Source organism: Homo sapiens, chromosome 2 (genome assembly GCF_000001405.40).
Source record: "Homo sapiens chromosome 2, GRCh38.p14 Primary Assembly".
Lineage (NCBI taxonomy): Eukaryota > Metazoa > Chordata > Mammalia > Primates > Hominidae > Homo > Homo sapiens.
Window position 1 is genome coordinate 68,790,084 of NC_000002.12, and position 15,480 is coordinate 68,805,563.

A 15,480-nucleotide genomic window follows, 5' to 3' on the forward strand; every position below is an offset into this window, starting at 1 on the left:
GTTTGAGCGATTCTCCTACCTCAGCCTTCTGAACAGCTGGGATTACAGGCATGTGCCACCACACCCAGCTAATTTTTGTATATTTAGTAAAGACAGGGTTTCACCTTGTTTTGGCCAGGCTGGTCTCGAACTCCTGACCTTAGGTGATCCACCACCTCGGCTTCCCAAAGTGCTGGGATTACAGGCATGAGCCACCGTGCCCAGCCACGTTTAAAGTTACTAACCAAAATCATAGATCCCGGAATGTGAGGGCATTTTTAAGACAGTATAGAGTCTCATTTGAGGCCACTGGACAAATCAGACATTTGTTCTTCCTATTTGTAAGTTAGGGAATGTTGGCCTTAAAGGGACAAATGACGTGTCCCGTGGGCCCAGGAGGTGAGGGGCAGGGCCAGGGCTCTTTTGCCACAGCACATTACCACTTGGAAAGAATCTCTAACGTGGGTTGACTAGATGGGAAAGACATGCCTCCCAAATATTGTGAAGTCACTGAGACATGTGGCTGCCACCTCTTTCTAGCCCTTTGTGAAACTTTCTTTTTCCAACCAGAGCCTGCCCCCTTCCCACCACCTTCACTACTACCACCCCAAAGGAGATGGAATCCTTTCTTGTCAAATTACAGCACTAACCTTGAAACTCATCTCCACACGTTCACCCCTGCCTTCTTACAGTCTGTTTTCGACAGAGCGGCCAGAGTGAGCCTGTTAAACCTGTCTTATCAAGATTCTTCTCAGCTCAACATTCTCTGATAGCTTCCTTTCTCACTCAGAGTAAAAGTCAAGGCTTTATAATGATCTTACAGTGCACAGTCTGCCCACCGCCTCCCCTCCCGCATTTCCCTTCTGACCTTCTCCCGTGCTCATTTCACTCTAGCTTCACCAGCCTCCTCAAACATCCTACCCGTGTTCCTGCCTCCAGGCCCTTGCACTTGCTGTTTCCTTCGCTGGGAATCCTCTTTCCCCAGGTAGCTGCATGGCTTGGTCCCTTACCGTCTTCAGGTCTTTGATCAAACATCACCTTAGTAGGCCTTCCTCTATGATTCTGTTTAACGTTGGACCCCTTCCTTACCCCTCAGTTCTGCCTCGCTTTGCTCCTTGGCACATAACCTCTTCTAACATGCTAAATATTTCACTCATTTGTTTTGTTCCTAGCTAGACTCCCCTCACTGGAATGAAAGCTTCAATCTACTTGGCAGGAATTGTTTTTCTCTTTTTTGTGCAGTACCATATCCTAGAATCTAAACAGTGCTCAATAAAGATTTATTAATCGAATGGGTGAAAGAATCAAGTCATTTTCCCATAGCAGCACTATGTTCAGCTCCCTCAGTAGGCTCTTCTCTGTTAGATGATGATCAGCTTATCTGAGAGATTATTCAGTAAATGGGTTGTGTCCTCTATAATTATAATATCTTCCTCCAAGTATGTCGGTGGTGAGTCTCGGTGGAGCTCTTTATGGTGCAAAGACCTCCCTTGGAGAATCTGATGAAAGCTATAGAGACTCTCCCCAGAAAAATACCTAGACACAAACAATTTTGCTTCTGACAGCAAAACATTTTCAGACACCTGTAGCCCGTCTGTACACCCTAGGGAATGAATCCCAATTTTAAATTTTAGAAGTTACTCTGGTGACAATTGTGCAGAGCCGATGCCTCTTCTGGCTTGCCGTCCCCTTTTGGGCTCCTTTTCTCCCTTGACTGGAGAGATGGCCCACATAGTCTTCACGGCATTCCCAACTTCTTCCTCAGGGCTCCTCCTGCCTGTAGCTGGCTCTGAGTGTTCCTCTCACTTTAGAGGGCAGCACATTGGTGTTTCAGCCTTTTTCTTATCAGTGGGCTAATTTCTTGCCACCCTTCTCTAAGGGCTTGTGACTTCTGACAACTCATTCTCAGCTTACTCCTGCCCATTTCCTCTAAACTACTCCTTCCTTTTAGTAAGGCAGGCATGCCTTCTCTGGATCTCCACACTGAAACCTGGTCCCTGTCCCGTCTCCAGGGAGCAAGCAGTCCAAATTGCAAATCATCACACTCTGTCCAGACCTGCTTTTGTCCTCTTCCTCCAGAGATGAGCCATCTGAAGTTTTGCTCAGGCTATTGCTGAGTGAGGAAACAATGCATTACATTGTTCTCCTTTACCCAACCCAGTTTTAAAGTCCTGAAACAGGTCCTATGTTTTTGAAATTATTATTATTAGTATAAATTTATGGAGTACAGGTGCAAATTTGTTACATGCATAGATTATGTAGTAGTGGCCAGGTCTTTTAGGGTACCCATCATCCAGATAACACATATTGTACCTATTAAGTGATTTCTCATCATACACCGCCTTCCATCCCCTCATCCTTCTGAGTTTCTGTTGTCCATAATTCCATACTCTATGTCTGTGTGTACACGTTACTTAGCTCCCACTTATAAGTCAGAACATGTGATATCTTTCTGTGTCTGCCTTGTTTCACTTAAAAATGGCTTCTAGTTCTATCGATGTTGCTGCAAAAGACATGATTTCATTCTTTGAAATGTCATATTTACTATTCTTTGGCTGAACAGTAAGTATACCATTGTGTATTTATACCATATTTTCTTCATCCGATCATCTGTTGATGGACAGTTAGGTTGATTCCATATCTTTGCCATTGTAATAATCATGTGAGAAACATTCAAGTGCAGGTATCTTTTTGTTATAATGATTTCCTTTCCTTTTGGTGTATACCCAGTAGTGGGATTGCTGGATCAAATGATAGTTTTATTTTTAGTTTTCTGAGAAATCTCCATACTGTTTTCCATAGAGGTTGAGCTAATTTGCATTCCCACCAACAGTGTATGTGTTTTCTTTTCTCTGCATCTTGACCGACATCTGTTATTTTTTTACTTTTTGGTAATTGCCATTCAGAGTGGCGTAAGGTGCGATCTCATTGTGGTTTTTATTTGCATTTCTCTGATGATTATTAATGTTGAGGATTTTTTTCATATGCATGTTTGTCATTTGTATGTCTTCTTTCGCAAATTGTCTGCTCATGTCCTTTACCCACTTTTTAATGGGGTTATTTTGTTTATTGTTGTTGAGTTATTTGAGCTCCTTGTAGATTCTGGATATTAGTCTTTTATCATATGCATAGTTTGCAGCTATTTTCTCCCATTTAGTAGGTTGTCTGTTCACTCTGTTGATTCTTTTGCTGTACAGAAGCTTTTTAGCTTAATTAAGTCCTATTTGTTTATTTTTATTTTTGCGGCCTGTGCTTTTGAGGCCTTAGTCATGAATTCTTTGCCTAGACCAATGTCCAGAAGAGTTTTCCCTTGATTTTATTCTAGCTTTACTCTAGGTTTTACAGTTTCAGATCTTACATTTAAGTTTTTAATCATCTTGATTTTTGTATATGGTGAGAGATAGGGCTCCAGTTTCATTCTTCAGCATTTGGCAATCAGATTTTCCCAGAACCACTTATTGAAAAGGGTGTCTTTTCTCCAGGGTATGTTCTTATAGACTTTGTCAAAGATCAGTTGACTATAAATATGTGGCTTTATTGCTGGGTTCTCTATTCTGTTCCATTGATCTGTGTGTCTGTTTTTATACCAGTGACATGCTGTTTTGGTTACCATAGCCTTGTAGTATAATTTGAAGTCAAGTAATATGATGCCTCCAGCCTTGTTCTTTTTGCTTAGGGTTTCTTTGGCTATTTGAGCCCTTTTTTGGTTAAATATAAATTTTAGGTTTTTTTTCTAGTTCTGTGAAGAAATGACGTTGGTATTTTGATAGAAATTGCATTGAATCTGTAGATTGCTTTGGGTAGTATGATTATTTTAATGATAATGATTTTCCCAATGCATGAGCATGGGATTTTTTTTATTTGTGTCATTTACAATTTCTTTTGTCAGTGATTCTGTAGTTTTCCTTGCAGAGATCTTTCATCTCCTTGGTTAAATATATTCCTAGGTATTTTATTTTCTATAGCTATTGTAAATCAGAATGCCTTCTTGATTTTGTTTTCAGCTAGATCGTTACTGGTGTATAGAAATGCTACTGATTTTTGTATGTTGATTTTATATCCTGAAACTTTACTGAAAGCATTTATCAGATCTAAGAGTTTTTTGGTGGAGTCTTTAGGTTTTTCTAGATATAAGATCACATCATCAGCGAATAGGGATAATTTGACCTCCTCTTTTCCAATTTGGATACCACTTATTCCTTTCTCTTGCCTGATTACTCTGGGTAGGACTTCCAGTACTCTATTGAGTAGGAATGGTGAAAGTTGGCATCCCTGTTTTGTTCCAGTTCTTAGAGGGAATACTTTTGACTTTCTCCCATTCAGTATGATGTTGGCTGTGCATTTGTTGCATATGACCTATATTATTTTGAGGCACGTTCCTCCTATGCCTAGTTTGTTGAGAATTTTTATTATGAACAGATGCTGAATTTTATCATATGCTTTTTCTGTGTCTGTTGAGATGATCATATGGCTTTTGCCTTAATTCTGTTTGTGTGATGTATCACATTTATTGATTTGTGTATATTGAATCATCCTTACATTCCTGATATAAAACTTATTTGATCATGGTGTGTTATCTTTTTGATGTGCTGTTGGATTTGGTTTGTTAGTATTTTGTTGAGGATTTTTGAGTCTATATTCATCAGGGATATTGGTCTGTAGTTTTCTTTTTTGTTGTTGTTATGTCCTTGTCTGGTTTTGGTATCACGGTGATACTGACCCTGCAGAGTGAGTTAGGGAGAATTCTCTCCTTCTCAGTTTTTTGGAACAGTTTCAGGAGGGTTGGTATTAGAACTTCTTTGTATGTTTGGTACAATTCAACTGTAAATCCATCTGGTCCTGGGTTTTTCTTTTTTGGAAGATTTATTGTTACTGATTCAATCTCACTACTCACTGTTGGTCTCTTCAGACTTTCTATTTCTTTCTGCTTCAGTCTTGGGAGGTATATGTTTCTAGGAATTTATCCATTTCCTCTAGGTTTTCTAGTTTGTGGGCATCTAGTTGTTAATAATAATCTCTGATGATCTTTTGTATTTCGATGGTATTAGTTGTAATGTCTCCTTTTTCATTTCTGATTTGTTTGTTTGGATCTCTTTTTTTCTTGGTTAGTCTAGCTAGAAGTCTAACAATTTTGTTTATCTTTTTGAAAAGCCAACTTTTCATTTTGTTGATCCCTTGTATTGTTTCTTTGGTTTCTGTTTCATTTAGTTCTGCTCTGACCTTTGTTATTTCTTTTCTTCTGCTTATTTTGAGTTTGGTCTGTTCTTGCTTTTCTAGTTTCTTGAGGTTTGAAGTTAGGTTGTTAATTTGTACTCTTTCTACTTTTTGATGTAGGCATTTAATGCTATTAACATCCCTCTTTGCACTGCTTTTGCAGTAGCCTACAAGTTTTGGTATGTTTTTGTATTTTCATTTGTTTAAAAAATTTTTAGATTTCTATCTTAATTTCTTCATTGACCCAATGATCATTCGGTAGCATGTTATTTAGTTTCCATGTATTTGTGTAGTTTTTGAAGTTCCTCTTGGTATTGATTTCTAGTTTTATTCCACTGTGGTCTGAGAAGATACTTGATATGATTTCAGTTTTTAAAAATTTTTTGGGACTTGTTTTGTGGCCTGACATATGGCCTGTCTTGGAGACTGTTCCCTGTGTTGTTGAGAAGAATGTGTATTTTGCAATTGTTATATAGAATGTTCTGTAAAAGTCTATTCATCCCATTTGGTATAAAGTCTAATTTAAGACTTTTAAATTTATTTTCTGTCTAGATGATCTGGGTAATGCTGAGAATGGGGTGTTGAGTTCCCACTATTACTGTGTTGCTGTCAATCTCTTTTTTAGTTTTAGGTCAGTAATATTTGTTTCATGAATCTGGATGCTCCGTGTTGAGTGCATATGTATTTAGAATTGTTATATCAGTTCATTTATATAGTTCCAAATGACTCACTTTGTTCATTCCTTTTTATTCTTTTTTCTTTATTTTTGCCTGGCTGGATTATTTCAAAATACTTGTATTCAGGTTCTGAAATTCTGCCTTTTGCTTGGTCTAGTCTGCTGTTGCAGCTTTTGAATGTTTTCTGTAATTCCTCCAATAAATGTATTTTGTTCTAGAATTCCTGTTTGGATTTTTAAAAAGATATCTATCTTCTTGGTAAATTTATCATTCATATCCTGAACTGATTTTCTTATTTCTTTGTATTGATTTTAGATTTCTCTTGCATCTAATTAGGCTTCCTTAAAATCAATATTTTGGATTCTTTATCTGGGATTTTGAGGAGTTTTTTTGGTTAGGAGCTATTGCTAGAGAATTATTGTTTTCCTTTGAGGGTGTCATATTACATTGCTTTTTCGTGCTTCCTGTATTGTTACATTGATTTCTGCACATCTGAAGCAATAGTCACTTCCTCTTATTTTTGAATTTACATTCATTATGGGGTGGGGACATTTTTTCTTGAAGATGTGACTATGATGTTGGTTGGGTAGGGCCATTTGACTTTGCTTCTTAGTGTGTGCAGTGGTGAAGATGCTGTATGATTTCCTTGGTCATAAATAGCCTTAGTGGTATCTATGGATTCCTTAGTGTGTTAGGGTGCAGTTATTGGTTACTTTTTCAGGTTTCAGTGGTAGCAGTGGTGGGCCAAGTGTGTTTCTCCTTGAGACCTCAGGCAGCATATGCTGGCACCTGTACTGGCAGTTCCAGGCAAGTCGATTCTTGGGCCTGTGGGGGGCTTTTTTGGATGCTGATTGTAGTAGTGGTGTACTGGGCAGGTGAGTGGGCTTTTGACCTTTTGGGCAGCGAGGATGGTGGGGGCAGTGGGTATAAAGGTGGTCATGAAATGTTCTTCTAGTTCTCAAGCACAGTGCTTTTGTGTTAGCCGTTGTTTCAAGTTTCAATGGGCTGTGTGGGCCAGCCTCCAGGCTAGTAGATGGTGCTTGCAGGTAACAACGAGCGGTGGGGGTAGCATGGAGATTTATGCCCGACCTCTGTTCCCCAGAAGAGGTATTTGGGTAACCCAGGTGGTAGTTGGGTTGTGGAACACCCAGGAGCCTGGATCCCACACTCTGTCTTGGAGTAGGGGGCAAAGTTGGGCAGAGCTGGACCAAGCAAGCTTGTATTCAGGCCCTCCAATGGCATATGCATGCACCAGCCTTGATTAGGGGGTAGAGGAAGTCCTTAGGCCGCTTGTGAAATGCTTGGTGAGGGGCAACCTTTGCTGTCCTGAAGTCTTAGGATAGGGAGGATAGGGCTGTCCCAGTGGCCACTGCTTTGGCCCACAGGAATGAGACTTGCTTTCGTCTCACACCCCAGTCCCAGCAAAGTTCCCTCCTCCATCCTGGCTATGGCAGCCAACTTGGCCACCCAGTCAGTCCTGGCAGGCTGCACCTAGTCCACAACTCAGTCCTAGGCCATAGGAGATGCCATTCAGCTTAAGGCCAAGCCTCCACAACAACTCTCCTCTTGCTTAGGACCTGGGATGGTGGTGTGCCTGGTTGCAATGCCAGTGGCTGGAGCCCACTCCACACTTGCTTCTCAGAACGGGCCGCAAGGGTTCATCCCCCGCTCAAGCCCCAGTCCTGCAAGCACCACCCAAGTTCTCCCATGCACAGCCTGTAAGAGCTCCGATCCAGAATGTTGTCCCACAGCAGCCAGCCAGGTTTCAAAAAGGGTGTAGGACATTCCCTGGAGCAGTTCCATATCATAGTCTTCTTGCCACTCCCCAGGTTAAGATTCGTGGTGTGGGAGAGTCAAGGTGCTCTCCTACGGCCTGGATTGTATAATTCCCCAGTGGGAAAGTGGACAGCAGAAAGGCACTCACTCACCCTCTCCCATTTGGGGGATTCGCTCCCCTTTCCCAGCTGGCCTCAGCCACACAGCTTTCCTGTTTTCTTTCTTCCTGGATTTCAAAGCTTCCTCTCACTTTTTTGTTGAACTCCCAAGTTCTTTCTTGAACACTGCATTTAAAGTGCAGTTGTCTGCACACTTGCTTGGTTTCTCTAAGCGGATGAGATTACTGGAAATGCTTGTAGTCAGCCATCTTGAAAAAAAAGATCTTGTGTTTTAAGCATCATTGTGTGTTTGCCAACAGGAAGCATACTGTATGTAAATATTGAATTGTTATATACCTTGGATTTCTTTTCTCCTTTCATTCTTTTAAGTTCTCTGCACCCTTATGAGCATGATTTCCTAATCCACAGCACAATTTAGCCTGGAGGGGTGTGCAATCATTGTTATTCCATGTGTTCTGGTCTTTCTCACCAGCTACATTTGATATTAAAATAGATGATATTTACTTATTTCCATGAATTCCCTCATCTCTCCTGCCCTCAGCTCCTAACAACAGACAGATACTTATTTATTCATTTGGTCAACAACTCTTTCTTTAATATGTGCTATGTGCCCAGTTCTATGCTAACACTGGGGCACAACAGTGAGAAAGAGAGAGAAAGAGGAGAGAGAAAAAAAAAAAGCCAAAGTCTTTTCTCTCAAAGAGCTCACAAGCTAGGAGAAGACACAGCAATTACTTTTAAAGAGCCAAGGGAAAACATAGTTACAACTGTGAAAAGAGCCATGTGGGAAAAACACATGACACTATATGAGGAAAAAATATCTTTGTCAAGTAGGTCAAGGAAGGCTTCCTTGAAATAGTGATGATTAAGCTTAACTCTGGAAGGCCAGCAGAAGCTAACTAGACAGAAAAGGGGGAAGCAGAATGGTGTCTTAGTCACAGGGAATAGCATGTGCAAAGGTCCTGTGACAGAAAGAAGAACAGGCTCTGGAGTGAGGGGAGGGTAATAAAAGGGGAGATAGCTTTGTTAAGGATGTTGGTCTTCATCCTAACAGCAATAGGTAGTCATTGGGGATTTCAAGGAAAAAGGTGAAAAAAATCAGATTCTATTTAAAAGATCATTCTACTTGCTGTGTGGAAAATGGATTGGGCTGGAGGTGGCAGATCAGAATGAAAGCAGGAGACCAGATATGAAACTCAAGCCATTGTCCAGGCAGAAAGGACAGATGGTGGGTTGGACACGGGTGGTGGCAGTGGAGATGCAGAAAAGCAAACAGGTTTGCACAATGTTTTGGAGGCAACATTGCCAGGGGGTGGGAGTGAATTTGATATGCAGAGAGAATGTGGAGTCAGATGAGTCCGTGATTCCTGGCCTATTAATGAATGGAGAATAAACACTGGGTTGGCAGCATGAGACAGCCCCGGGGCCCTTCCTGACAACCTTGCCTGTCTCTCTGTAATGCTGAGAGCCTGTTTGCCATCTCCTGGGTATGTCTGATAGGGTTGCTGCACTATTTACTGTATCTGCTCATCAGGAGGACAAAATCATCTCAGTCTACCCAACAAACTGCCTTCAAGATCATTATCTCTGAAGGCCCCCATGGAGCCATGTGCAACTCTGAAAGCATTTCCAGGGAATGGTGGGCTGGCTTCATAAACGCTAAGTGAAATTCTGTGTTTCTGCCAGACACATTGATATATAGAACAATGCTGGTAAGGGTTCCCGCGTGGGATTTTTTTTAACCCACCTGGGAGGTATCCCCTGAACGGCAGTTGACAATTAGCTGCTAAGTAAAAGGAGGCACTTATTTTTATTGCGGTCCTTGACAGCTTTATGTTCACTGTTTAAAAGCTGGAGAGTCCTGTGTGTAAAGGTGAGTGGCGAGGGGAAGTGCTGGGGGAAGAAGGGCCGGGAGGGCTGGGGCAGGTGCAGACAGATCCCATGGTTTCCTTTTTGGAGTCAGAACCTGAGCAGTATTTGCAAGCATGTGCTGATCTGGAAGTGAGAGAAGAGGGTTCTTCCAGTCTGGGGAGGAGGGAAGGCCTGAGGCTGGCTCATCGGAGGCGTGAGTCTTCGGCCCTGCCATGCCTCACATCCCCAGGATGCCGCGGTGGGAACTGGGCTGTGGCTTTCCTGCCCTGGCACTGCTTGTTTGCTGGGATTTCAGGAGGAAAACCCCCAAGCTCCGAAAGAAAGGTATTTCTTTTTTATTTTGTAGTTCACTTCTTCCACTAGAAGACTCGTTTCCCAGAGCCTCTACCCTCTCCTGTCAGGGGTGGGGAGCGCTTCTGGAACTGATACCCTGGGAAGGAGGTATCAGTGCTGAGCGGGCAGGCACAGTGTGTATGGGGGTGGGGAGCTCTCCCTGAGGCCTGGGCTGGGCTAGAGGCAGGGTGGGGAGGGGCTCTTGTCCTGATCTTAGGAGTGTTTCAGTGATGACAAAGGAGGACCAAGGTAGGGAGGGAGGTGACAGTTGCTCTTTCTATTTCCACTTCCCCAAAGCAACCCAGTTTCCTGGAGTTTTCCAGCAAATCTAAGGAAGGGGTTGAGGGTTAAGGGGTGGAGATGGATTGTGGGGAGAGCTAGGGCAGTTACTAGTGTGGTAGTGAGGCCTCACCCTTCTGTGGTTGTTCAGGATGGGGTCCAAAATTTTAGGTCTGAGGACTGGAGACAAGGCGAACATGGTATGAGGGGAGGTGGGGCTGGCATGGGCTGGCATGGTCTGGCATTAGAGGAACTCCCTTGAGACTTTATGATCTCTGAACTTTTATTCCATTAGCTTTAAACTCTAAAGGGAAATAAAGCACTGAATATAGAATCACAGGGTAAATATGACCTCGGAAAAATTCCTGACTCAAATCTCAGTTTTCTCATCTGTAAAATGGAACAATAATATTTACTTTGTAGAGTTCTCATGAGGACTAAATGAGATAGCACATGTGAAAGTATCTGGGGTCAGTTCTCAGCATAAAATTAATGTCATTAATTACATTGGTTAATAGTTATAATTATCATATTACATATATTATAATTACATTATGGTAATTATATTACTTATAATTATTATAATAAATTCATGAAAATTTATACCTATTAAGATGGAAATGCTCTGCTAATGGCCAAAGGGGTGACAATTAGGACCCAGAGGTCAGACACTGGTATAACTCAGGACCAGGTCTTTGGAGTTCCAGGGATGTTTCTGATTCCAAACTCCTCATGTGATCTGAGATTAAGAGTGACAAAACCTGACTTAGCCAAGCTAAAAAAAAACAAAGATGATTTTTCTCTCATGTAAGAAGTGACACTGTTGGTCCTGATGTCTCCAGAGCATCCAGTGGTTGGTTCTTGTTGAGAGAATAGCTTTGACGGATTTCTAGGCTGCAGATGTCAAGTTCAAAGTCTTCATCATATGGGTGATATTTAAAGTGGTGAGACTCTGAGAAAGTGTGCAGATGAGGGAGGGAGGCCCTGGGACCCTCCAACATGTAGAGGACAGCAAGGACAGGAAGAATCCTCAGAGGAGGCTAAAAGCATCTGATGAGACACACGGAGAACCAAGAGGGACTGGTGTGCCAAAAGCCACATGAGAAAGTGTCCCAAGAAGAAGGAGGTGGCTTGCTGTATCACTTGCTGCTGATAGAGTAGTTAAGATGAAGACAGAGAATTTCATCTCAGATTTTAAAATGTAAAGGCCATTGGTCTCCTTGACAAGAATAGGTTTGGGGAAGTACTGAGTAGAGAAAAGGGGCAGAGAATGGGAGGAATGGGAGGCAGCAGGTAGTGACAGCTCTCTGAGGTCCATCACATACCAGGTTCTGAAAACAGATGCTGAGCCAGATGGACTGTCTGCCTTTGAGGGGTCCACAGTCCAGTGGAAGAGAGGGATGTTTAAGTGAATCATCATAAAATTACATGACAGTGATAACATCGAGGAACACACAGGGAGCTCTATGAGTAGAGGAAAGAGTGACCAGTTTTCTCTGAGAAGACATCCAAATTCAGAAGACTGGGTTTCCAGGTGGAGAGTAGGAGGAAGGGCATTCTCTTGAGAATTTTTTAAAAGCAAAAACCATTTTTCATTCTTCCTTTCATACTCTCTAACTATCAAAGAGCCTGGCCCACAGCAAATGCTCAGCCTACATTTGTTGAATGACTTTGTGAATTCTGGTGGAAGGAATTTGCAAGAAACAGAGTTGCAAAAGAAACCATTATAACGATATAGGCAGCAGCAGTGGGAATAGGGAGCTTGTTTAAAGCATATTTGGAATGTACCAACCTAGGCCGGGCGCGGTGGCTCATGCCTGTAATCCAGCACTTTGAGAGGCCAAGGTGGGCAGATCACGAGGTCAGGAGATCGAGACCTTCCTGGCTAACACGGAGAAACCCCGTCTCTACTAAAAATACAAAATATCATCCAGGTGTGGTGGCACGTGCCTGTAGTCCCAGCTACTCGGGAGGCTTAGGCAGGAGAATCTCTTGAACCCGGGAGAAGGAAGTTTCAGTGAGCCAAGATTGCGCCACTGCACCCTAGCCTGGATGACAAAGCAAGACTCCATCTCAAAAAAAAAAAAAAAAAAAAAAGAATGTGCCAACCTATTTGGGGAGAGTGAAGAGTGTTGCGGATAATTCTAATGCTCACAATTTTGCTAATTGGGTTAGTTAAGTGCAGGTACCTTGTATTAATGGCTTTGTATTTTCAGTGCCTAGGAGAGTACCTGGCACTTGATGATGGAATGAAGCTATTGCCTTTGAGGAAGGCTACAGGAGAAGCAGTGATTTAGGGATGGGATGATAGTGAGATTAGAGAAGATACTGGGAGAATTGCCATTAGACATTGAACTTATGGGAATAGAGGAGAAAGAGAGAGAGAGAGAGAGAGAGAGAAAAGATGGAAATAGATATGATATAACTACATATACAATGATAAAATAAAACACTTTTTTTATGAGTATAATACTAAAGAGAGAAAAGCAAATGTTGGTCATTTGCATGAGAGCTGAGGTGGGGGATTATTCTTTCATAAATTATATCTATCAATCCATATGTACACACACATATATCCATATATACACATATATCCATATATACACATATGTGTGTGTATATATATACACACACATATATACACATATATATACACACATATACATACATACATATATATATATATAGAGAGAGAGATCTGGACCAGATATGCAGATTAATAAGTTATAAGTTTATAGGTGATATCTAAATGTGTGGAATCATATGCACTTTCCTAAGGAGAATACTAGAGTGAGAAGAAAAGAAGCCTGAGTTGGAATCCCAGGAAATGATGCACCAAACGAGCAGGTGGAAGATGGAGCACAGTCAAAGACACTTGAAAGGAGTCATCAGTGACATGAGCATAGAACAGGAATGATTGGATTTATTGCAATGTAGGGAGAAAGTATTGAAGAGGAAGGAGAATTAACAACATCAGTCTTCAGAGAAGATCAGTAAGTAGGGTGTGGAATGAACATTAGGAGAGCACTAGAAATCTTAGTGAGCAGATTTAGTGAAGAAGTGCAGGCTAATGAAACCAGATTGTGATGGGTTGAGAGGCTGAGTAGTGAGTGATAAGTGAGGAAGTGGGGCAGACATCTCTCTAGAAGTAGACATTTTTATTACAAGTATATGGTAAAGAGAAGGAAGGCAAATGTTGGTCATTTGCATGAGAACTGAGGTGGGAGATTATTCTTTCATAAATGGCAAAGACTTAGACCCACGTGGGATCTTTCAATTGAAAGAGAAAATTTCAACATACAAAGAGAAACAGTAAGTACTGGAAGAGATGGAAGGAATGGAACCCACAGTTCAAGAAGGCATCATCCTAGATGAAAGGTAGGGCCCTTTTCTTCCTCTGGGAGAAGACAGGAACACAGAGGAGAAAGGATGGGAAAGGCAGGGACTGGAGATGAGGGAGTTCACTCGTAACCCTCCATTTGATAATGGAAGGAAAGAGGAGCCAAGATCACCTGTTGAGACAGAGAAGGGAGGGAATGGGTGGGGAGCTCAACAGGAGTGGCAAAAATTTGGAACCAGTGTCTTGCAGAGATTGGAAGGATAAATTTCCACAATATGGTTGTGCATGGTCTTTTGTAGTTCTCAGTGGCCTGATGAAGACACGCAAAGGGTAGTAGGAAGCAGCAGGGCGGGGATGTTGAAGAAAAAAGTATGGGTCAGATTAATATTGAAAGGGCTGCATTTGAGGCATGAGAGAAATAGAGGATGAAGGCAGGACAAGGCTGATAGACTGGGATGAGGAGAAAAGCTAGAGAACTAGACATATATTAAGGTGCAAGAAGGAGCTTGGCCCCAAATCATCTGCAAGGTGGAGCATCTCCTATAAGACCTCAGAAATGGAGCTTGAATTTGAAAGCTTTGACTTCTCTGTGCACATCCTTACATTGTGTTTGTGCTATCTTTCCCCATCAAGTCCAGTGGACCTCTGGAGCCTGAGTTTCAACTGTTCCAAGAGACATCTGCCTCTCTCATTGAAGGGCCCCTCTCTGGACCTCTCAAAAGAGAATTTTCCTGATGCTATCTGGTCTGTTTTAAGTCGGAATATTTCAATCATGTCCTATCAATTTGGTGAAAAGATCTGTCCAGCTCCTTTTACAGACAAATAGAAACCTAATTCCATATGGTTATTGAAATTTTCTAATTGTTTCTCACCATGTTTTGTGTGACCCCTCAAAGGCAGACAGTCCATCTGTTATGTTATTTTCATAACTTGTTGGCAAACTCATTAAAAGCAGGAACAAGGTCTTCCATGTCCCTTGTCTGTACAACCCATTCCATGGAACCTGGTGCTGGCACATGGCAGGGCACTCAATGCATGCTAGTGGGAAGCTGAATTCATATATCAAGGAGATTCCTATTAGTGTTTAAACTAAAGAAATGCCGAATAACCATTAGTCATGTGAAATACTTGCTTAAAGACAAATTGATTCATTAAATCCTTCAGCAAAATTTGTTGACTGTCTACCTTTTGCCAGGGGTTACACTAGACATTGGGGATGAAAACAGCCTTTCCTCCTATTCTCAGTAGCAGGGAGCTTACAATCATGCAGATGACACAGGTACATACAAATCATGATCACAGAGTGCGGGAAGGATTGGGATATTCAAGAAACAATACGGTGCACAGAGTAGGATGTAGTCCCTCCATCTGGATGTCAGGAAGGCATGGCAGATATGATGATATTTGAGAGGGGCCAAGGAGGAGAAAAAGAATTTTGTCCTCTTTGTCCTCCTGGTGCAGCCAGGGAAGGGGGAGAGCAGACTGGACAGGGAGGAGACTGTTCAAGGACATGGAGACTGCAGAGCATTACGTTTTGGAAACGTCAGTGTGAGTTGCTTCTTGGGGCATGGCAGGACATCAGGCCAGGAAAGCAGGTGGGTGCCAAGCCTTGAGGAATGCCAGCCTTGATTCTCAAACTTTAGCCACAGAAGTATCTAATCACAGTCTCACCGCAATGCAATAAGTGAAACGAACAACAGCCAAGCAGATTTGGTGGTAGTGGGGAATACAGAGGCCACCTATTCAGCTCCTTCTAGATTCCACACTCTCACCTCCCAACACCTGATGTGATGAAAGAGGAGTCCCTGATGAACTGCCAGGGCTTTAAATGTCTATTTGAAAACCATCACTGTGGCAGTTGGGAGAGAAGCAGATGAGTACTGAAAACCAA

General features: G+C 42.0%; 1 protein-coding gene across 9 annotated transcripts in view; it reads left to right on the forward strand.

The window, feature by feature from the left end:
• The window catches only part of ARHGAP25 (Rho GTPase activating protein 25), a 116,290-nt gene that overhangs the window by 79,540 nt on the left and 21,270 nt on the right, over positions 1 to 15,480 (forward strand). Inside the window, exon 1 of one of the 9 annotated variants that reach the window (XM_011533209.3) lies at positions 6,462 to 9,961. The exons of the other annotated variants lie outside the window; for them this stretch is intronic. Coding sequence (XP_011531511.1) covers positions 9,850 to 9,961 — 112 coding nt within the window. The 5' untranslated portion in view covers positions 6,462 to 9,849. Of the gene's footprint in view, positions 1 to 6,461; positions 9,962 to 15,480 lie in introns of those variants that run through there. 9 annotated transcript variants of the gene reach the window in all.